Consider the following 24,364-nt stretch of genomic DNA (forward strand, 5'->3'; position numbering starts at 1 on the left):
TTAACTCAAGGAAGAGTATTTGCCTGCATTTCCTTTTAAATTGGATATATCCACGAAAGAAGTTGGGGAAAAGGGAAGGACTCATGGCTTGTAGGGAAGTGGATAGTGCATTTGTGGCGGCAGGCAGTGGGGAAGGTTTCCTTTGCAGGAGTCATTGTGAGGGGTTTGGCAGGGCTTCAGCATCTGTCACAAGGGGGTTGGTAGATTTATGTGCTTCTCTAGGAGGCCCCTGAACTTGCTTTCAGCATGAGATAAATCACTGTCACTTTGCAGACAGGCACAGACAAACATGGAGGCTACTTTCGCTTCATTAAAACAAAAGAACCAACCAGGCTCCCGCAGATGTGGTTTCTGCCTCTCAGAAATGACAGAATCAATTAGTGCAGGTTCACCTAGATGGTACACCATGGACATGGCTTTTGGGCTGCGGCAATAAAGACCTGTCAACTATGATGATGTTTCTGGGGAACGGTGGGGGAATATGTGGCAGCTCCTCAGGATATGAAAAATGATATCCCTCAGAAAAGTAGGCACAGGCATTGTAATAATACACTTGACAAGCACCTTATCTTCTAGGAACTTTGCAAGGCATGATGATAATTACTAATCAAAATTGGCTTAATATAGCGTAGCAGTACTCACTAGAAATCAGCGCAGATGGGAAGGCTGTGAAAACCAGCATTTTTTTCTCTTGTAATTTCATATACAGTTGTTACTACAATGGTGTCAGAAAGCTCAAAGTGGCTTATAAGAACAATGGATCCAAAAGTTGGCTTGAGTCCAGAGCTGTCAAAGCTTAGTCTGCACTGTATGATGCCATTTATTGAAGGAAGGTGATGTGCACATGTGCGTGTGTGTGTGTGTGTGCACGCATGTGTGTGTGTGTTAGACAGGGAAAGAGATGGATTGATAGAAATCTTATTCAGACAAAAACACAATATTTACTTAGGAGTCAATGATAATCATTATGCAATACATGGCATTATACACAGTCATGTATTTTATGTGAATTAAAATGTATTTTCCTAGAGAGTATAACAATTTCAGTAATACTGAATGTAATCTACTGAAATGAAGCACAATTGAAATAAGCAAATGAAGCTGGGTGTGGTGGTACACGCCTGTGGTCTCACCTACTCGGGAGGCTGAGGCAGGAGGATTGCCTGAGCTCAGGAGGTTGAGGCTGCAGTGAGCTATGATTGTGCCACTGCACTCCAGCCTAAGCAACAGAGCGAGATTCTGCATTTAAAAAATAAAATTAAAAAAAGGCAAATGGGCAATTCATCATTTTTTAACAGCAAAGTAATGTGTTAATCCCTGTCTGCTCCCACGTCCACACTGGGGACCACCCCCCACCCCACTATAGCTGGCTGGCTAGAGCCCTACCCCAGGCCACATCTAACCTGGTATCATCGCACTGCAGAAGCCCTATGCCCCAGCCCTGTAACCAGCTGGCCCTGTGTACTCACGGGCCTGCAGGGCAGCAGCCCTCTTCCCTAACTCCAGCTGTGGGTACTTAAGATATTATGATGGGGCTGGGCACGATGGCTCACACCTGTAATCCCATCACTTTGGGAGGCTGAGGTAGATGGATCACTTGAGGCCTGGAGTTCAAGACCAGCCTGGCCAACATGGTGAAACCCTGTCTCTACTAAAAACACAAAAATTAGCCAGGCATGGTGGTGCATGGCCTGTAATCCCACCTACTTGGGAGGCTGGGGCAGGAGAACTGCTTGAACCCAGGAGGTAGAGATTGCAGCAGTGAGCCAAGATCATACCACTGCACTCCAGCGAGACTCCATCTCAAAAAAAAAAAGATATTATGATGGGACATCTGCCTTGGCGTCATACTGATCTCTTTGATGGAAACTTTGACCTCTTACTTCCCTTCTCTCAACCCCTTCTGCATGGAGTTTGGACCTTGAGCTCTGCAATTCCATTTGCTGTCTTGGCCTCCACTGCAGACCAGAAGGAATGGGATGGTCCCACTAACCTGACAATGTGTGGCACCACCATCTGCGGCCACACCTCACCATACAGGCCAGCTTCTTTGGGCACCTGTGTCAGCCCAGATTGAGCCTGTGTTAGCTGAACTGCTGGAATAATGTACTGGGGCTTGTGCATGTACCTTCCAGATCCTGTTGGTCCTGCCTGACCCCTCAGCCTTGGACTCTGGCCCTGCTTCCTGGACAGAGCAGCCTCAGGATGGCTCATGCTGCTGCCATCTGTGAAGCCTGGCCACCGTGCTTCTTCCTCCACCTGCGGCACTGCTGGTGTCTCGACCTCCCTCAGGGACGGGTTTGCCCAACCCCATTGAGCCGCTGGGCCTGTGGAGGCTTTTTCACTAGGAGTCTCAAGGCCCTCAGTAAGTATCACAGCTCACAAGTGCGGCGCTGTTAATATCCCATGGAATACGACTCGACCAATGAAAGGCAGGAGACCAGGAGGAATTAGCAGATGAATTGCTTGCCCTCTCTCTCTGAGAAGGACTGTTTCAGCACACCACGGTTCCATATGGCCTCTCCAGAGTCATCCATGTGATCCAATGGCCAGCTCTGTTTTCTTCCACAGCCCATGTCTGATCCGTGAATGCACCCTGCCAGCCCTGCCCTCAGGATGGGCACATACCTGTCCACTGCCCCACCCTGTTCTCACTCTCACTGTCCCGGAGGGCTGTGTGGCTTTCCCTGACTTCCATCCTTGCCTCCCTCCAATTTCTTCTCGATAGAGCAGCCAGATTTATTCCTTTGAAGTGCTGCTCCTCCACCCAAGGCTGTCAGAGTCCCCGTGTCACTCAGAGTACAACCCAAAGTATTGACTTCCATTCTTCCCCCTTCCAATTTCTTCTTGATAGAGCAGCCAGATTTATCCCCTTAAAGTGCTGGTCCTCCACCCAAGGCTGTTAGAGTCCCATGTCACTTAGAGTACAACTCGAAGTGCTCCCCGTGGCCCATGCTGTCTGGCTCCCTTCCCTCCTGCCTTCTTGAGCCTAGCTCTCTCTTTGCGCTCTCTGCTGTGGCCACCCCTGCTCTCCTGCATGGCCTCCTGCACACCAGGCACACCTCCAGGACTTGCTGCTTTCTGTCTGACTCACTTTCCCCTTGCACAGCTGCATGCCCCACTCTGCGACCCCCTGACACTATCCCCTTGTGAGTGTGGCCTTTCGTAATCACTTTCTCTGAACAGCACCTCCTCCTGCTTAACTTTTTCCTTCTTAGCCGTTATCCTAGTCTTCCTTGCTCTTTATGTCACTTATCTGTCTTGCTGGTTTTTGTCTTCCCTACTAGGATGCAAGCTCTGTAAGGGCAGGGGCTACTGCCTGTTTTGTTCACTGTGGTATCCCCAGTGTCCAGCACAGTGCCTGGTACACAGCAAGGTTAAGTACCAGCTGAACAAATGAACCCATGAATGAACGAGGACACCACATATACTTAAATGCTTCATTCCTAACTCTGCACGTCTCCTCCCTTCTCCTTTGTCAAGAAGGGCCTGGCTGGCTAGGTCCCAGTTGTCTCTTAGTTCCACCTGCCCTCAGACTCTCCTGTTTGGCTGCACAACTTCCTTTAACCCTTCTCTAACTGTGGCAGCATGGAAGGTGACAGCTTGGAGGTCAGTGATGAGGCAGGAAACTTGTTAGCTAGGACAGAACATATACAGAAGAGACTCAGTGCAGCTGACAGTGTGCATTATTGTGATACATGTTCAAAGCCCATCTCAATTATAGGCATGGATTCATTTATTTCTGACTTCAAAACTCTCCGTGTCAAAGTCTTGCTCTTACTACCTTGTTGAACTTGACTATAGCAATGGGGAATGGCACCTGGAAAGGGTCCCGTGGAGAACCCACCCAGGATGCTGTCAGTCAGCACTGACCATGGGGCTGAAGGTGGAAGGTTCCTCTATGTATAAAGAGAGCTTCTCACACTCGGGGCTTTTGTGTGGGACAGGAAAGGCTGACATAAAACAATGGGATTGAGTCATTCATGTGGGACCATACGTAGCCACAAAGGTGTGACTTGGCCCACTGCCCCCCTAGAGGGCAGATTGCAGAAGTTGGCAGAAATGTCACCTAATTATCAAGGTGGCTGTGTGGCTGGGAGTTACTGCTCAATCTATTCAGCAGCGGAGGAAGCTCTGCCAGTTCTCAGCACATAGGATCTGGCTAATCTGATAACATATGGAGGAGAAAAAGTGCGTCACTGGTTTCCTCTCGCACCACGCCTGACTTCTGCAAAGCAGCTTCTCTCCCACTTATCTCCCACTGCGAAGCCTTAGGCATTCATTCCTGTGTGATGGAGTCAGCATCCTGAAGAATATGGAATATCTTAGAGATGCAAACGATCCAATGAATACTTATTTATTGGTCAGGGAGAATGTAACTGAAGCCAATTTCCCTTGTGAGTTACTCACTTACTTCCAAATTGGCATGAGTGTAAGACTCCGTGGACATATATAACTCATTCTAGCCAGGATCCAGAGGATCACAGAGACACCCACTGAGTGTCCTAAGTGACAGGGGAGATGGATGTCATGAAAAGCCAGGAAGAAACCCCCAAATTCCTTGAAACAGACACAGAGATTTTCTTATTGGAAACTAAGCTAAACACTTATTTAAAAATATATTTTCTCCCTTGTCCTCATCTGTTTTCTTTTCTCTTTTCTTTTTTTTGAGACAGGGTCTCTCTCTGTTGCCAGGCTGGAGTGCAGTGGCATGATCTTGGCTCACTGCAACCTCCGCCCCCTGGGTTCAAGCGATTCTCCTGCCTCAGCCTCCTGAGTAGCTGGGACTACAGGCGCCCACCACCACGCCCAGCTAATTTTTGTATTTTTAGTAGAGACGGGGTTTCACCATGTTGGCCAGGATGGTCTCGATCTCTTGACCTCGTGATCTGCCCACCTTGGCCTCCCAAAGTGCTGGGATTACAGGCATGAGTCACCGCGCCTGGCCTGTTTTCTATTTTTAAATTTACTTGTATTATTTATTTGTTTGTTTATTTTTAGAGATGAGGGTCTCACTATGTTGTCCAGGCTGGACTCCCAACTCCTGGGCCCATGCGATCCTCCCACCTCAGCCTCCCAGGTAGCTAGACCGGGAGATAGATAGATAGGCACATCACCTATTTTCTTAGGGTTCCAGGGCTTGTTGAATACAAATTATCCAAATAAAACACAAAGGTTCTCCTCATATATACCAACCAAAACCCACAAAAAAATTTGTTATCCTTGTATTGTATGATCTCGTTGGACATCTGGCAGTGCTGGGAGGAATGAGCAGGTGGAATGAGCAGAGCCGCAGGATTGGGCCAGTCTTAAAGAGATGCTATCCGATGGTCAAAGGGCTAATACGATTAAGGAGTTAAGGACCAACATCGCCCACTGAGTTATTGCCAATTAGTAGCCAGGTTTCCCCAGCAGCCCCAAGCAAACATTATCACCAGCATTGATTACTGATATCGCCCTTCTGTATCTCTGTTCTGGGTTCTAATGCAGACATAGAGAGAGAGAAATTAATTTGTGATTAAGACAGGCAAAGCACTCAGAACTGTAGACTCAAGATTGTCCTGGGAAATCTTCCATAGTGAAGATTTGGAGGGAACAACTCTTCTCTTCTCATTTCTCACTGGCATTTAATACTATGGAAAACATTCTGGTTGTGGAGTGTGAAGTCCTGGGCTTTTGGTTCTGCCCATGACCTGTCATTAATGCAACAGATTCTCCGGTATACAAAGGGGCTGTTTAATAATCAAATGAGATACAAATGACAAACTTTTACAATTGTAAAAACTACATGAAAACTTAATGATTTCATGAGTACTGTATATGAAAAATGTTTCTAATAATTGTAACATTCCATTGGTAGGATTCAGGTAGTGTGTTCTCTTAAGAGGCCCTAAAGAGAGGGAACATGCGCTGAGTGACAGCCCAGGAGGAAGCAGACACGTAAGGTGAGCTCGATCCACGAATATGCTCTAGACCTGTCAGTAACAGCCGCTTAGCCACTGAGCTAAGAGCTGAAGTCAGCAGGAGATGGAAACTGTCGGATCCTCACCATGCTATCAAAGCAAATTCCAGCAGCAGGCACATTGCTGGTAAAAATAATGCTCAGAATTCATATTTTAATCACTTAAAATGCATTTACTCATAGTTTCTTCTTCATGGCTGAGGTGCATCACGACCCTTCCATGAGCTATTATACTCAAAGATAGAAAATAGTATCAGATGCTATGGACTGAATTGTTTTCCTCCTGATTCATATGTTGAGGCCCTAATGCCCAGTGTGATGGTATCTGGAGATGGGGCCTTTGGGAGGCAATTAGGTTTAGATGTGATCACAAGGGTGAGAACTTCATGATGGGAATAGTGTTCTTATAAGAAGAGACACTGGAGGCCAGGCACGGTGGCTCCTGCCTGTAATCCCAGCACATTGGGAGGCTGAGGCAGGTGGATCACGAGGTCAGGAGATCGAGACCATCCTGGCTAACATGGTGAAACCTTGACTCTACTAAAATACAAAAAATTAGCTGGGCGTGGTGGTGCACACCTGTAGTCCCAGCTACTCAGGAGGCAGGGGAATTGCTTTAACCCGGGAGGCAGAGGTTGCAGTGAGCCGGGATCGCGCCACTGCACTCCAGCCTGGCAACACAGCAAGACTGTCTCAGGAAAAAAAAAAAAAAAGAAGAAGAACACTCAAGAGCTCTCTCTCTGTCTGCCACGTCAAGACAGTGAGGAGGTGGCCCTATCTGCTAGCCAGGAAAAGGGCCCTCAGCAGAACCTGACCATATCGGCACCCTCATCTCAAACTTCCAGCCTCTAGAAAATAAACTTTTGTTAAGTCACCCAGTCTATGGTATTTTGTTATAGCAGCCTGAGAATACTACCAGATGTAGGTCAAAGGATGAAAAATATGAATAATAACAAAAGAAAGAAAGCTTTGTACTGTTAAAGGCTGGTGAGCATGAAAACAGAAGCTTCTGAACAGTTTTAAAGCGGGAGGGAGGGGTCAGGTGGGTCACTACACATAGTGTTGGAAGAGTGTGTTTTGCCCAAATTGATCAAATGAGAAAAGGACTCAGTGTATCATAATGTACTAGGGAAAACAATCTGGGATACTGTAAGTCCTGCTTCCCCAGTGATATGGTTTTGCTGTGTCCCCACCCAAATCTCATCTTGAATAGTAGCTCCCATAATTTCCACGTGTTGAGGGAGAGACCTGGTAGAAGATAATTGAATCATGAGGGCAGGTTCCCCCATACTGTTCTTGTCATTGTGAATAAGTCTCAAGAGATCTGATGGTTTTATAAGGGGAAACCCCTATCGCTTGGCTCTCATTGCCGCTCTTGCCTTCTGCCATGATTGTGAGGCCTCCCCAGCCACATGGAACTGTGAGTCCATTAAACCTCTTTTTCTTTATAAATTACCCAGTCTTGGGTGTGTCTTTATTAGCAGCATGAAAATGGACTAATATCCCCAGTCATTGAATTCCTGTAAACACAGGCAAACACATTAGTTTAGAATAGGTAAAACACTTAGTGTAACCAAACCCGAGGTTAATCATTCAACTTGCCAGTGAAACGCTTCCAACAGAGGAGAGGAGTCAGTGAGAGACGAATAAAGGACAGAGACACAAAAGCAGCCACACAGATCCATAGTCAGAGGACAAAGCTGGAGGCAGCTTGGTGGAGCAGGTTGCTTCATGGTCAGCCAGTGAGCCCTTTGGGGTCAATGAGGGAAGGAAGTACCTTCCTTTTAGGGACAGGGACAGGGACAGAGATGGACCTACAGGGATCAAAGGCTACAGGCAGCTACAATGTAGGAAAAAAACACAGTCCAGGGCCGACCCTGGGGGATTGACTTGGAGAGGAAAGTAGGATTCCAGTTCCCTGAGGAAGAGCCTCATGGGACTTGGCACATGGAGGGTGGTTGAGTACCCTGGTCTCTGAGCGTATCTGTTTCTATGGTTTTATCGTTGTCTATTCCCTCTAAGGTTGTTTATTTATTTACTTATGTATTTTTGAGTAACATTTGTAGCTTGCACACAGGAGATGCTAAGTATATGCTTACTGTATAGGGCATTCCAGGTGAGGTGCTTAACATAAGTTGCTCAGTTAACTCTCACAATATTTATTTAATAATAGATAATTAGAACCATTTTTAATTTAAAAATTTTAACATTCTGATCTCACTTAATGGCCTCAATAGACTTTTTTTTTTCTTTCTTTCTCTTTTGAGATGGAGTCTTGCTTTGTTGCCCAGGCTGGAGTGCAGTGGTGCAATCTCGGCTCACTGCAAACTCCACCTCCCAGGTTCAAGCGAGTCTCCTGCCTCAGCCTCCCCAGTAGTTGGGATTACAGGCACCTGCTACCACACCTGGCTAATTTTTGTATTTTTAGTACAGACGGGGGGTTTTCACCAACTTGGCCAGGCTGGTCTTGAACTCCTGACCTCGTGATCCACCAGCCTTGGCTTCCTAAAGAGATTACAGGCGTGAGCCACTGTGTCCGGCAATAGACCCATTTTAAAAATGAAAAAGAAAAAGCCACAACCAGAGAAGTCACTCACATAAGGCTGCAAATTTGTAAAGTCCAGATTTGTACACTGTTCTGCCTTCTCTTATTATTTCAGGCTGCCTCTAAGTCAGCAGGACTGGGACCCTACAGGCATGGGTGCTACCAGAAAGGGAGAGGGAAGAAGAGGAGTGTGGCTAAGGCGTGCTGTCCCTTCTGCGGGGGTTTCTTCATAGCGTTCCTCTCATTCCTGAAATTATTCCATTTCCAGTGGTATTGAGGGTGACCAGCAGACCCTGTTGTACCATGTCACTTAAAAAACGTAGTGCCTTTTTTTTTTTTTTAAATACAGGAAACACAAAAACATTGTTAATATTTTAAAATTATCATTTGAATTTTACATTGTTACCTCCGGGGCACAGTGAATGATCATGGAAGCTAGACAGAGGCTTGCCAAGCTGTCTCCCCGCAATACTCAGCTCAGCTACTTAAAGTGTAGGTGGTTGCTATGGGCAACCACTTAAATAAACTCAGGGAAAGTGTTGGGGAGTGAGGGCTGCGGAGTGCAGGCAGTTAATGGATTTACCTAATTCAAAACAAAACAAAACACCTATAAATTTTTCCCCAAGGATCATTCCTCCCTCCCGCTAATACTCCTCTACCTGAGATGATTGTTTTCTTTAAGACAGCCAAGGAAAGAGAAATGACAATGAGGATCTTAACCTGTTATCTGAATAGTGAAGTCCATCTCAAAATATTCAAAAAGGAAGAGAAGCTGGAAAATTCTAACTGTTGATCAAATATTACCACTGCTGTAAGTTAAAAAAAAATCCACCTAATTTTAAAATGGCCCCTAGATTGTTCTTCCCATGGTAGATTGCTTATACTCAACCCCGAGTGGCATAGTCTCAGAACCCAGTCTTCCCAGCAGGGAATTGGAACAGCAGGTTTTATGATTATACTTTCCTATTTTGGTGGGTGGGAACATATTTTACTTTATATCTTGCTTTTTGCTTCATTTTCATTTTCTTTAAGTGATTAAGTGCTTTGAGATGCCAAGCCTTCATGTTTATTGAAGTTACTTTTACACTTTTAGCTAATTCCTGCACTCTTGTCCAAGGCCTGTACTCCCATGACCATGCTGATATGTTATGAATATCTCTTTTTGTTATAACTAGGCCTTTTTGTCTTCCATTCCTTTGCATAAAGAATATTACCCATTCAACTAGGGAAGTGGTTGTATAAATTATAGTACAGGAATATAATGGAATACTTTGCCATTGTTAAAAAGAGTGTGGTTAACCCACAAGCATTTATATAAAACAATGTTTAAGACCTAATTTCAAGTGAAAAGAGCAAATTGTAGAACAGTATGTATAAAGAAAGTTTAGACATGGGTATATATAATATATGCTTAGAACATTTCTGAAAAGATTCATAAGAAACAGAATTCTTACCTCTATGGAGGGCTAAAAAGGGAATGAAGAGGGGAGGGGGACTTTAACACATTATTAAAATATTTCTTGGTGGTGTTAAAATTTTTATGAGTATTATATTTTGTAATAATAAAAAAGGAAATCTTCCCATTATTTCTAAATAAAAAAGAGACATGTGGGTATGGTGTATATTGGAGAATGGCGTATCACTACGGCAAGCAAGACAAAATAATAGCAGCAGCAACAAGGAGATCTGACCTGTGGTATTAGGCTGTTTTTGGGTCACTAGAAAGAAATACTTGAAGCTGGGTAATTTATAAAGAAAAGGGTTTTAATCAGCTCATGATTCTGCAGGGTTTATAGGAAGCACGGTGCTGGTAGCTGCTTCTGGTGAGTCTTCAGGAAGCTTACAATCATGGCTGAAGATGACAGGGTGTCAGCATGACACACGGTGAGAGCAAGGGAGCAAGAGGGTGGGGAGGTGCCACACTCTTGAACAACCAGATCTTGCGTGAACTCAAAGTGAGAACCCAGTCGTGTTGATGAGGACGGCACCAAGCCATTCATTAGGGATCCGCCCCCAAGACCCAAACACCTTCCACCAGGCCCCACCTCCAACACTGGGGATTACATTTCAACATGGGATTTGGAGGGGACAAACACCCAAACTATACCACCTGTCCTTGGTTGGCTTTTGATTTTTGGTGTCCTTATTTATCTGTGTAACTTCGTATATCAGCCCTTTCCGGTACCATCCTAATCTCTGCTTCTACCATTCTTTCCCTGCAGCAGTACAACTTTCTCTTGTCTCTTACTTGATTTCAAACTGTCTCCAATTTGTCTCTCTCTATCTCATCTAGAGGCAGGCTAGTATAGTGGTTGATAACATGGGCTCTGAATTCAAATCCCGACTGTGACACTTCTAGCTCTGTGACCTTGGAAAGTCAATTAAATTTATGTGCCCCAGTTTCCTCCTTGTATAACCTAGTTAATAATGATTCTTGTCTTATAGGTACTATTAGTTATTATGTGAATTGTGTCTGGCACAGAGGAAGTGCTTCTAAGTGTTAGTCATTACTATTCTTCAAGGTGATTTTTTGGGGGGTTAAAATTAGATATATTTCAACAAGAAAAACAAATAAAGAAGCCAAAAGAAAAAAGTAAGAGAAAAGCACAAGAAATGCAGCAAAAACCACCCAGAAAGCCTCTTCACGAGAAGAATGACTGCTGAGATGTTAGAAGATATCCTTCCATACATATATACTCATGTAAATAATATAGAATATACTTTCATCTAAATAAGAAAAAAAATCTCTCTTGTAATTGGCTTTTTGACTCCACGCCACGCAGGCCATCTGTGTTTTTGTTTGTTTGTTTGTTTGTTTGTTTGTTTTTTTGAGATGGAGTCTTGCTCTGTCACCCAGGCTGGAGTGCAGTGGCGTGATCTTGGCTCACTGTAACCTCTGCCTCCCAGGTTCAAGTGATTATTCTGCCTCAGCCTCCCAAGTAGCTGGGACTACAGGTGTGTGCCACCATGCCTGGCTAATTTTTGTATTTTTAGTAGAGATGGGGTTTCACCATATTGGCCAGGCTGGTCTTGAACTCCTGACTTTGTGATCCGCCCGCCTCGGCCTCCCAAAGTGTTGGGATTACAGGCATGAGCCACCGACCCCGCCACGCAGGCCATCTTTCTAAAACAACACTTACATCACTTCATTATCTGGCTCGGCTATCAGTGGTTTCCTATTGCTCACTTTATTAAAACAAAATGAATTCTCTGGATATGTAAGGATCTTACTTAGAAAAGTCCTCACTTTCTATCCAAAGATGGCTTCCCATTTTTAAATACTCTTCTAATACATCAGTCAGCTTAATTTCTTTATACTCAGACAAAATTCCTCCTCCGTAGTCTGTTGCCTCTCAGTGATTATTCAGATTCCAAATCGAATCCTTTCTCTTTCATGAAGTCATCCCTTCCTATTTTCAATTCCTATTAGTTTTTCTTTTTTTTGGACAAATATAGCACTTTTAGTTAGCGGTAACATACATAATGTAATTTCAAAACTTACAAATAATGATACAAAATTGTTTTCATTGCTCTTGGCGGCACTGAATCGTATATGTGCAGTGGAGACAGAGCCTTATAGCTCTCTTGTCTCCCTCAGGGCATTTAGCAGCTTGAAAACTTTGATTCCTCTGGAAAGAAGTCTTGGTTGAGAGTGAGATGACTTGGGTCCTAAACCTTGCTGAAGAGCTTAAGCGAGGCACCTCTTTACTTGGGGCCTCCATATCCTCATTTGCAATATAAAAGGGTTGGAATCATCTTTGAGGATCCTTTTAGTTTTGCTTCTAAGATTTTTTATTCATTCTCTCTCTGAAGAAAGGCTACCTAAAAATAATGCCATTGGTAAAGTGGTAAATGTTTAGAAACTGACTTTTTGGGAGGAAGAAGCTCTGCCTCGTAGAGCGTGTCGATTTCCATGGTGTAAATATTTCCATCACGGCCAATATCAGGCTCCCAGGATGACAAAACTGAATATGGAGTTGGGAAGAGATGTCCACCATTGGCTCTCATTGGACGACTGGACCCCCCCTAGCATTGTGGAGTGGCTCCTTTCAATGAAGAAATGCAGCCTCAGGCTAGATGAGCACAGCCAGCTAGCTTCGTCTCCAGCTTCTCTCACTCTAAAACTCCAACACAATCTTTCTTCACTGAGTGGAGAAGGCGACGACAATGGAAAGTGCTCCCAGCTTGGCTTTTCAAACCCAGGCTCTGAAGGCACAAACCCCAGGAGGAGGCCAGTCTTCTCAGGCACTTGTACCCACAGCAGTGTCCATCTCTTTTGGAATCTGGCACAGGAATGATGCTACCGAGGTGGTGGCAATTTTATATGCAGTTGGTAATTTGGATCTGTTCCGAGAGCTCTCAGCTCTGCCTTTTCTGGGAAAGAGGTGTGGTCCAAAGAACTAAAAGAAGGTTCTGAGCTGTAAGTCAAGAACAATGTACAGATGGTGGAAACAGTCTCCAGACTGTTCAGGGAAAAGTCCTCAGAGTTTCATGAGTCAGTGGGAGGAAAGAAGTTGGAGAGAAAGTAGAGGGCTGGAGCCGAAGACCCAGGCTCTGCCTCGTGAGGCTCACAACCATGAGAAAGCCTTGGTGTATCAGTAAAGTGTTGGTTAAAAATCAACTCGAAATTCCTTCTGACACCGTTGGGAGGATCTTATCATATGTACTAAAAACATTTGATGACTGTTATTTATACTTATTTATGTTAAACAATAGGAAGAAAATTAAAATATTACTAGCTATCAGGATAGATGATATTTTCTCTTCATTGGTTTATGTAGGTTCATATATATATATATATATATATATATATATATATATATATATATATAATTTTTTTTGAGACAGTCTGGCTCTGTCGGCCAGGCTAGGGTACAGTGGCAAGATCTTGGTTCACTGCAACCTCTGCCTCCCGAGTTCAAGTGACTCAGCCTCCTGAGTAGCTGGGATCACAGGCGCACGCCACCACACCCAGCTAATGTTTGTATTTTTAGTAGAAATGGGGTTTTGCCATATTGGTCAGGCTGGTCTTGAGCTCCTGGCCTCAAGTGATCTGCCTGCCCTGGCCTCCCAAAGTGCTGGGATTACAGGCATGGGCCACCAAGCCCAGCCACAGATAATTTTTAAAGAATGTTGCAGTAGTTAATGTGATCATTGAAGAACACCCTTCCCAACTTCAAAAGGACTAGTTAATGCTGGTGCTCCCTGCCCCCTCATAGAACTAGAAGGAACTGGGATTCCCCAGATGAACTGAAGGAAATACGCTAATATTCAAAGTGGATAACAATACTAGGGATGGCTGCGTGGATATTTTTAACATGCTAATGTGTACCTGCCAGACTGAGCTCCCAGCCTCCAGGTGGGCTGGCAATGCAAAGTAGGGTTGAGAAGGAACAGGGAGCTTTTCAGAGAACCACAGATTCAGAAGCAGAGGGAGGGGGAAGAATTGAAGAGAACACAGACGCAGTGAAAGGATGCTGGGCAGATGTTAGATGGCAGCTCAACTCAACCACTGCGCATTAAAGTTACTCATGGAGGGTACTGTTCAGGGCACTTTAGGCATAGAGGGATTGTGTAATGATGCGTTAGCATTTGTTCAACATCCCCTCTGGGATGACGACTCTGTGCCAAGTGCTTCAAAAACATTCTTTCAGATAGCATTGAATCTCTTCCTACACGAGGGACAGAGAAAATAAACCAGTGCTTAAGAAAGCTATATTACCTTGAGAAATGTTAACACAGTGCTTCGGGAATTCTTAGGAGGAAGAAATAATGGCTGACAGCCAGAGGTTAAATTTGAGAAGAAGATTTAAAAGAATGGAGACTTTCTTCTCATCTTCTCCCCCATTAGATCGCAAGTTCTGTTGTACTGGGAATCCTGACTACTATAATATATCCCAATGCTTAGCACATAGTAGGTGGCCAAAACTGATAATAATGATGGCGATAGCTAACATATGTGGAGCAACTACTGTGTGCCAGGGACTGTGCTAAGTGCGCCACATACACTGCACCTTCTCGAATCTGCATAATTACCCTTGAACAACCAGTGGCTTGTTGAAGTGGCGTGATGTTACTTCCCATACAAGTGTTCTGTGCTTGTAAGGGAATAGCAGGAAAGAAGATCTCAAAGGAGAATGGTGTCTTACTGTGACACTTTTGAATGTTACATTTGGAACTTTGTGCCTAGACAACATGGGATTCAGAGATAATTTTTTAGCAACCTGGTAGAAAGTCTTAGAGAAGGAGTTGGAGCAGAGAGAGGCTGGGGGCGTCAATACAAATTGGTCCATTGCAATCACTCAAGTGAAAAATAGTAAAGCTGGAAGAGGTAAGAGGTGAGTTGCAAAGTTTCAAGACTGTATTTAAAAAATGGTCATTCCACTGATAGAAAGGGAAGTGTCAGGAAGAGAAGTGATATATTTAGGGAGTACTGTGTTATGTGGGTGCTTTGAAATCTCTTCTTCCTGAATGCTGAGCTTGAAAATACAGGATCAATGCACATGATCAGACGATGGTGCAGATCTTATGCTAAAGTCTTAGACTCTTTAGGCTGTAAAGATCTTATATAGATATTTTGTCTGTCTTGCTCAGGCAGAATTATCAAAGGTCTCAGAGGAATATAACTCAGCTTGTTTCAAAAGAGGCCTTGGAAGTTTTCTCTAACAATTTCCAAATTAATTGATGTGATAATTAATAACTTTGCACTTAGAAGTTCCTCCTTGCAGCTAACCTGAATTCCTTGGGCTGCAATTTTGATCTCATTTCCTCCTGGTTTATAGATAGGAATGTTGATGATGTTGCTATTTCAAATGCATCTTCTGTAAAGATACATTTATTTAGGACTTACACCCAGCTTGCTTCTAAAAAGGATTAGAGGCAGCTCCTAATATGTCCACCTAGGCTTCCTTTTAAAGAAGCTTTTCTCATTCCTGCAAAATGTCTTCCATCTGCATGCATAAGAAGAATTTCTTTAATAATAAATGATACAGCAAAAGTAAAGCTAATAACGAACTATGCTGACAAAATAGTAACCTGTAAACAAAACAAAACAAAAACAAAAAGAAACAAAAAACCACAATCCTTTCTTATGCCAGGCAATGCAGATTTTTCTCATCAGAAAATAATTTTGACCAAAACTATCAATTTTAACACCGCCAGCCTCTGAATTTTAAGTTCCTTTCTTCTTTGTAGTGCCTGCTTTTGCCATTCTTAGACTCGTGTGTGTGTATGTGTCTGTGTGTATTTTTCTCTTCCACTTGACTCTGGAAAACCAGATTTTAGTAAAGCATTTAGTGAATATTGAAACCAAGGTATAAATGATGGACACAGTACTTAAATTATTAAAGGTACCAAATGTTTGTTGCATGAATAAATGAGTGAGTGAGTGATTGCATGAATATAATTTGTGATTGTAATTAGGGTGTTCTCTTTACCTCGTTGTCTGCACTTTAACGGGAACATAGATATTAAATTGAATAAATGGCAGGTGGCAGACAGAAAAGACGAAGGAATTTTGAGGCTCTCTGCAAAGAGAAGCCGTCCTGGAAGGACAGTGGGCAGCATCTCTGATCAGCACTACCTAAAGGAAGTGAGGAGTCTTTGTTGCCAGAAACCTTAGCCAGGGCCTTCCCTGCTCCCCTCCCTCTGCTGTCTTAGGGCTTTGTTTACACAGCCCCTTGAAGCCAGCTGTCAAGGGTGCAAACCTGGTCTGCCATCCTTTGAAGAAGGTTCAGGTTACACATGGTAAGCCACAGAACAGAGAAGGCCCAGGATTCATTATTGTATTAGTCTCCACAGAGCTGAACCCAGGCTCCTAAGAGTCCGTCCCTTCTTCCTGTGTCCTCTGTCAGCCAGCGCCTTCTGCAGCTCTGATCCTTTGGTCATTGGTCCTTCTTTCCTGCACCTGAGGCTAAGCCTGAGTCAAGATGTTCTCAAGATCCTTCCTGTTTCAGCTGCATGTCTGATGTTTACACTTGCGACTCAGAACTCACTTCACTGCAGGCTTCTGACGCCCCTTCAAATCCATGCTTCACTCTCACAATCTGTTTTGAATGTCTGTTTTTCCTGGGTACCACTTCTCAGTTGTCCACACCCAGTTGATCTTCCTTTCCCCTCCATTATTAAACATCTTTTAAATAGCTCATCACTGCAGTCTTAGTAAGTTCAACTTTCCGTCCAGCTTTTTATCTTTTCTGGTTTCAACACCTGGGCTCAAATCTTAGCTCTGACATTTGATTGATAGGTAACCTTAAAAAAGTTATTTAATCTCTCTGAGATGGAAATTTGTCATTTGTAAAATGGGCAAAATTGCATGCATAGAGTTCTGATGATCAAAAGAAAACACGTATGTAAAGCCCGTAGCACTCAGTCAGGCACTTAGAACCTTGTTAAAATGTAAATATCCCTCCTACTTAAAAAAAAATTATTTTAAGTTTTGGGATACGTGTACAGGATGTGCAGGTTTGTTACATAGGTAAACGTGTGCTCTGGTGGTTTGCTGCACCTATCAACCCATCACCTAGGTATTAAGCCCAGCATGCATTAGCTATTTATCCTGATGCTCTCTCCCTCCCCCAATCCCTGACTCTTAACTTTTAAAAATGTCTCATTCCTTCTCTCTAGAAAAGTATCGGGACTTTCTTTTATTCTTTTGCCTCCTTTAAAGGCACACAAGGAGTTCTCTCCTCTCTATAGTCATGATCATTGTAGAGACTTTTCAGTCTACGCAGGCTTCCTTTCAACACAGGCTTCCTTTCAACACAGGCTTTTCTAAAGAGTAATTATATAGCAAGAAACCAGGATTTGGTACAGACTACAATACTCACACATGCCCACATCATTTGGAGGAGGGCATTCATATCCCAATGAAGGAACATTTTTTTAAAAACTAGGAGTGGTGATCTGGGACTCAATGTAATAGGCGATTGCTTGTATTAGCTGTTTTTTTCTTTTTTAAATAAAGCTGATTTCTAACAAATATTTGAAAGGTATTTAGATAATTTGTAGATGAGCAAGTGATAATTTTTCTGTGAGCAAGAATGACTTTCCCTGTTTTAAACGTGTCGCGTTTCTTATTATATTGGAAAGTGGGAGTGGGGAGTTAGAAGTATAGAGGATAATAGAAGAAAGTATTATAGTCAGGTCGCGTTTCTTATTATATTGGAAAGTGGGAGTGGGGAGTTAGAAGTATAGAGGATAATAGAAGAAAGTATTATAGTCAGGGAAGAATGGGACACTACCCTGGGTTTATATCACTGATCACTGAGGACGTAAATTCACAATTTCGTGTGGCAGGTTGTATTTTCTTGTTCTCCCTACTTTGTGAGGAGCATTTGCTATTATACGTTACAATGATACGGAGGAACAGGTAGGAGAGGAACAAAAAAGCATTTAGGCAAAACAGAGACATTTCATACTACTTAGAACAGAGATGGGATGATACAAATTGCTATGTTCCCAATACAGTTCATATCTTTGGGGAAAAAATAGCGATGCTCCAATCTTCATCCCATCCCCCTCTTTCTCTAACAAGAAAAGGAAAACGAGGAGCAGTAGGTAGGTAGGAGGGGAGTGTATGACGTGAGGAACAGGCAAGGACACAGCATGTCCAGGAGGAGAAAAGGGGAGCAAAAAACGTATACAAGATAAACAACAACAACAACAAAAGAGACTCCAGCAAGAGGCTATGGTTTTGGGCTCCTCACGTAGAAATCAATGCATTTAAAATATCCAGAATTAAAGTTGAAGAAGAACACTCCATCTACCTCTTCTCAAATTATTTTCTTTACCAATACTACTTCCTTTTGTCTTTAAACTGTGAACCACTACTCTACTGTGCCTTGTTCTTACAATTATACACGTCAGTGCTGAAAGGTTCCTGGGAGACATTTCCTGTAGACTAAGGATAGCACCTGTGGGCATCTCGGATCGATGAATCATGGTGGCTGGAGCACTGCATTGAGACTGGTTCAGGGGCTCAGTCTGTTCTCAATGGGTAGGGTGATGGAATCCATCAATGCTGGGATTGGCTAATGCTGTCTTCCACAGGTTTGGGGTGGGAGGAGTTGTAGGGAGAGCCGCCCAAGTGGTGCCATCCACGCTAAGAGACTGAGACTCTCATTTACGAGGAGGTTCAGAGACATTAATCAATTTGCCAAAAGGCACACAGCTACTTAGTATTTTTCCAAATTTAAATTTAAATTTTTCCAATTTATCTAAAACAAACAAACAAACAAAGGTTCAGGGCCAGGGGGAAAAATGAAGATTAAGAGGATTAACCATCCTGAAAATGAAAAATGATTTGCCTTCAAGGCATTTAGAACTGAAAATAAATCTTCCTGAAGCCTTTTGTTAGACACTTTATCAAAATTGCTAGGAGCTCTGACTGGCTCTCTTGCAACAGCCTGGAATCCTTCTCCCCAGTTTCAGAGGAGTTTCAAAATCTGTAATATTATAGACTGACTATTTCTTCCAGGGGGAGAATTTTTCTTAGTGCTTGGATAAAGAGATGAAGTATTAAGACACTTTAAACTATTATTCATGTAGGATTAACAGATATTTGAATTTAACTTCAGAATCTTTTAAATGACACCCCACTTAATATAATTTTTAAAAAGTTCTTTCTGCAGTGTATCAAATAAAAGTCCCAGATGGGATTTGGACTTGGTTTTAACTAATCATGGTAGCAGGCAGTAGTCTCAGTTCTAGAATAAATGGCACTCCAAGTAAGAGACTTAAGTTCTTCATCAGTGCCAGGCTGCAACAACATGCTTTGAGGGAACTCTGGCCCCTAAATGTCTCCTCTACTTGCCTGGAAATTTACTATTAAACATTCAGAATTTTTTTGAAAATGCTAATATTCTTGGGTGATACGCCATTTCAAATTTATTGTTAGCTAATAAGTAAGGAAGAAGGAAAAGCTAGTGATGAGGTGGAGTGATTTGTTAATAGCTGTGGGATAAGAGAAGAGAGTGACCGAAATAATAGTTTTCCAAGAGTAGCTACAGGAGGGGTTTTGCTGGCCCAAAGATGGACTTCATTGTCTCAAAACTACTCCTAACACCAGAATGTTTAACTGACCTTAGGCCTTATATGTCTGAGGACCCAATAACTAACACTAAGCAGCTGATGAAAAACCACCCACATAAATAAACCCTCAAGATGCCTTCGGAAAATAGAAAAGAAAAGAGAAAAACAATGTAAGAAAGTGTAGGAGTGCCTTCTCTTCAACATTTCTGAGAGAAGATGGGAGTTGAAAACCTTAAACAAAATGTTGCCCCAATCTCACTTGCCTAATTTTAGTTATCTTGGTTCAGGGCTATGATTCATCCCTAAAGCTGTGAATTACTGAGGAGGAAGGAGGGAAAAAAAAATCGACTTAAATGTCAAAGAAGTAGGAACATAAATATAGTTTTCTTTTTTGAGGAACTAGAATTCCAGGATATAGGGATCTTTTTTCTCATAAGGGACTGAATCCTTCAAACTTCTAGAAAAATAATGATCTGCAGTCAAAACATCATCAAGGAATGAAAGACAGAATTGATTATGAGTCATGTCATGTCTGAATTTTTGCCTCTATAGTGTATTTTCCTTTTTTTCTTTTGTATCTCTTTCAATCTGGTTAAACTATTAATTAATTAATTAATTTTGAGACAGGGTCTCTCTCTGTTGCCCAGGCTGGGGTGCAATGGCTCAATCATGGCTCACTGCAGCCTTGACTTCCTGGGTTCAAATGATCCTCCCACCTCAGCCTCCCGAGTAGCTGGGACTACAGGTGCACGCCGCCACACCCAGCTAATTTTTGTAGTTTTTGTAGAGACAAGGTTTTGCCATGTTGCCCAGGCTGGTCTCGAACTCCTGGGCCCAAGCAATCTGCCCACCTTGGCCTCCCAAAGTGCTGGGATTACAGGTGTAAGCCACCGTGCCAGGCCAATCTGGTTAAACTAGAGGTCACTAACAATTGTATGCAGTTGAAGATGACGGAGGTTTAATGTGTAGACTGTAATGACAAAGGGAACTCATAAAATAGGTGAGTGTGAAACGAATGGAGGTAAGTGGAACTATGAGAAATGATTCTAGGGGATGTGATGGTAGCACAGGGAAGGAAGATATGTTTGAATGGTTGTCTAAGGTTCTCTTGTGATCCTTTTGTGGATCATAATCATAATGATTGAGTTTTCACAGTAATATATGAGATGTGCTTCCTTCAAACCTTGTTATGATGTTGGCACACTATCCGTCTTACATAAACATAGGAAAAAAAAGTTCTCTTTCCTGCCAAAGAACAGGGGACAACAGAAATGGTGTGGGGAAACTCCATCCTAAGTAAAATGTTTTCAATTTAGTAGGTGTTCTCCTGTCCATTTATCACCACTTTGAATTTCTGTAAGTGGGGAGGGATGAAATAGCAGTCACTAACTCATACCCAGTTCAACAACTTCACCGTCTGAAGGAGCTGACCCTCTACCATCAGCCTAGCTGTCATCTGCATGTTTGCCTCTTTCTGCTCTGAAAACTTCTGAGCAGTAAAAGAAATATATGGTGGTCACAAAAATACGGTCCAGGACGTTGGAGGAGGGTCATATTGTGAAGAAGGCAAATGAGAAAGAAAGAGTTTCAATGACTTCAGAGTGATCCTCCACATCCTGAAGCTATGAGAGTAGCCCAGGGCACAATTGTGACATTGATTTCAGCCCCTACCCTCTAGCCCTGTCCTCAGTCTCCTCAGAGCACTCTTCTCATCTTCCTCATGGCTCTACATCTTTCTGTTCTCCTCTTACCTGGGTATTGCTGTGGACAAGAGCAATTCCTCTATCTTATCACCCAAGACCCAAAGTGTCACTCAGTGAATGTGACCAATGCATCTTGATGACAACCTAACGGGATACTTAGGAGGTGGAAAGGACTCTGGAGGTTGCCGGTTTAAGTGACTTTCTTGCCCATTGCAATCCTTTTCTTGCATCTTCTGGAAGATGTTAACCCTATGGCCATGACTACCTAACATTGTGTCTAGTGGAGAGATATTTTAAGGTCCATAGAAGAATTTTTTTTTCAGAAGGGTCCTTGGCCTCCCTCATTTCATGTCACCTTGGTCCACTGCCTTTCTTACAAATCCAGTTCTTCTAATTTAATTTTCTGAGCTTCTGCTAGGCGCGCCAAAGTGCAATGAAGACTTGTTTCTGTTTTTTATTTCCACGAATTTTTTTTTTTTTTTACCTTGTGTGGCAATGTTTTGGGTCCAATTCTGTTCTCCAAATAGATATATTGAAGTCCTAACTCCTACTATCGGTGAATGTGACCTTATCTGGAAATAGAGTCTTTGTAGATCTAATCAAGCCACCAAGTTTGTGGTAGTTTGTTCTGATGATTCTTGAAAAGTAACACATGTAGTAATAAAGGCAAAGAGGAAGGGCAACTGGAAGCCAAAGAAAGAAGGAAGAGGTTTTTTTCTTGGCTTAATTTACTGATGCACTGGTATTAATTTTTGATTAAAATGATCCAGAATTGTTCCACATGAACCCTTGAAAAATAATTCATGGGAGGCCGTCTCTGTCCGGATCTTTAAAATACAACATACTCTGCTATTTAAATAAATTCCCATCGCACAATAGTCAGCTGTTTTTCAGTGCTCTTGATTAACAATTGGGTTTGTTTTCCTTAACTCGACTGCTTTGATTTTTTGTTTTATTTTGCCTTTTAATATTTTATTTAGTAACATAAATGCATGAATAGTAATGTTCATTTCATCAAAATATGGAATCAAAGGCACTTAAAAATACGAATTATCCGTAATATATTTTTCAGGTCCAAATGGAATTCTATCTATTTCTACATTCCAAGACTCTAAAGAATTTACTCTCTATAAACAGCATTTAGAATGAAATCAGGTCTTGCTTAAAATAATCAATCTCAGTGGTTTCCTGCGTAGCGCTATTCTTTGTTTACAAACAGCACAAATACAGTTAAGGACTACAGTCATATGCTGCACAACGACATTTCAGTTAATGATGCATATAATATGGTTGTCCCATAAGATTATAATACTGTGTTTTTACTGTATTTTTCTATGTTTGGATATATTTACATAAACAAATACTTACCATTGTGTGAGAGTCGCCCACAGCATTCAGTACAGTAATTTGCTGTATAGGTTTGCAACTTAGGAGCAATAGGCCACTCCATATAGCCTAAGTGTGTAATAGGCTAGACCATCTAAGTTTTTGTAAGTGTACTCTATGATGTGTGCACAGTGAAATCGCTTAATGATGCATTTCTCAGAATGTAGCTCCGTCCTTAAATGATGTATGACTATATTTATATTTGCAAAACAAAACCTTTTTAAGGCCTTCAATTGTAATACATATCGAGTGCCCAAATTTAAAAATGTATGTCAAGAACCTTCACATATCCAATTTTAAAGCACGGTCACACTCTATAAGCTTCTCTAAGACAATCTCTTCTATTATGTTACTCAATTATCTGAAAAATTCAAGAGTCTTAAGAAAAAGTTCTTGTGTGTACTTCGTGCCTGAGCAAACGTTCAAGAATTGGGATACATGTATATTCTCATTGACCAGAAATTTCAATCCTTTTCAGAAGCCATTCTGGATTCTTTTAAATCCAGAATGGCTTCTGAAAAGATGGGATTTCTTCTGCTTCTTAGAGATGAGGGGTTCAGCTTATGATCAATGCAGAACACATCTGTTGCCTCTCTCTACAAAGGGACTGGGGTACGGACGTCAGATCTAAAGTCACAATCAATGTACTGCACTGCTCCACCTGTAGGATGTTTCTGCCCCACTTACTCTAGGAGACACACCATCTGAGCCTCGGTGATAATACAAGCACCTGGACTATCGCAAGTGCAGGGTTAGGACTACTCACTTGAGTGTGGTGAGTTCTGTAAGGGATGGCTGAGTAGCCTTGAGATAGCTTTCTCTCCGCGCAGCAACTTTTGGAGAAGGCTTAGGACTCGTGTCTGAGTCTCCACTGTCTTCATCCCCCATGGCCTTGATATAACTGCCACTCCGCATTCTTCGGCATGGAATTTCATCATCTTTACCTCGTGGGGTGTACCCTGTCCATTCATCTTGTGGAACCTATTCAGATAGAAAACAGATAAATCACTTTTTATAAAAGCCTACCTTTTTCTTTTCTTTTTCTTTTTTTTTAGATTTAACATTTCTATTTTTTTTTTTTTTTTTTGAGATGGGGTCTTGCTTTGTCGCCCAGACTGGAGTGCAGTGGTGCAATCTTGGCTCACTGCAAGCTCTGCTTCCTGGGTTCATGCCGTTCTCCTGCCTCAGCCTCCTGAGTAGCTGGGACTACAGGCACCTGCCACCACGCCTGGCTAATTATTTGTATTTTCAGTAGAGACGGGGTTTCACCGTGTTAGCCAGGATGGTCTTAATCTCCTGACCTCGTGATCTGCCCGCCTCGGCCTCCCAAAGTGCTGGGATTACAGGCTAACATTTCTAATTTTTATGAGTACGTAGTAAGTGTATATATTTATAGAGTACATGAGCTATTTTGATACAAGCATACGATGTGTAATAATCACATCAGGGTAAATGGGGTATCCATCACCTCAAGCATTTGTCATTTCTTTGTGTTACAAACATTCCAATTATCGTCTTAGTTATTTAAAAATGTATAAATAAGACCAAGTATTTTCTTTTTTTGGTATGGTGCTGGATATTGGTAATATAATTATCTGAAACTTTAGACATTAACCTTTCAATAACAATATTTTATTGTAATAGGCTCATAAATATTTTGAATATGTACAAATCCACGTCTCTCAGTCTTTAACATGACTCATGTAGTAGGAAAAATTAAAACCATTGGCTTTGAAT

General features: G+C 42.4%; 1 protein-coding gene and 1 non-coding gene across 37 annotated transcripts in view; one reads left to right on the forward strand and one right to left on the reverse strand.

Moving 5' to 3' along the window:
- DLGAP1 (DLG associated protein 1) overlaps positions 1-24,364 on the reverse strand; it is a 959,276-nt gene that overhangs the window by 294,634 nt on the left and 640,278 nt on the right. For all 36 annotated transcript variants that reach the window (NM_001398527.1, NM_001398526.1, NM_004746.4 and 33 more), the window contains one exon: positions 23,394-23,608. In NM_001398527.1, coding sequence (NP_001385456.1) covers positions 23,394-23,608 — 215 coding nt within the window. The remainder of the gene's footprint in view (positions 1-23,393; positions 23,609-24,364) is intronic.
- Positions 20,652-20,755, forward strand: LOC124904368 (small nucleolar RNA U13). The gene has a single exon (XR_007066486.1). It is a non-coding gene; the product is annotated as a small nucleolar RNA U13 (small nucleolar RNA).

The sequence above is a fragment of the Homo sapiens genome, chromosome 18 (assembly GCF_000001405.40).
Source record: "Homo sapiens chromosome 18, GRCh38.p14 Primary Assembly".
Taxonomy (NCBI): Eukaryota; Metazoa; Chordata; class Mammalia; order Primates; family Hominidae; genus Homo; species Homo sapiens.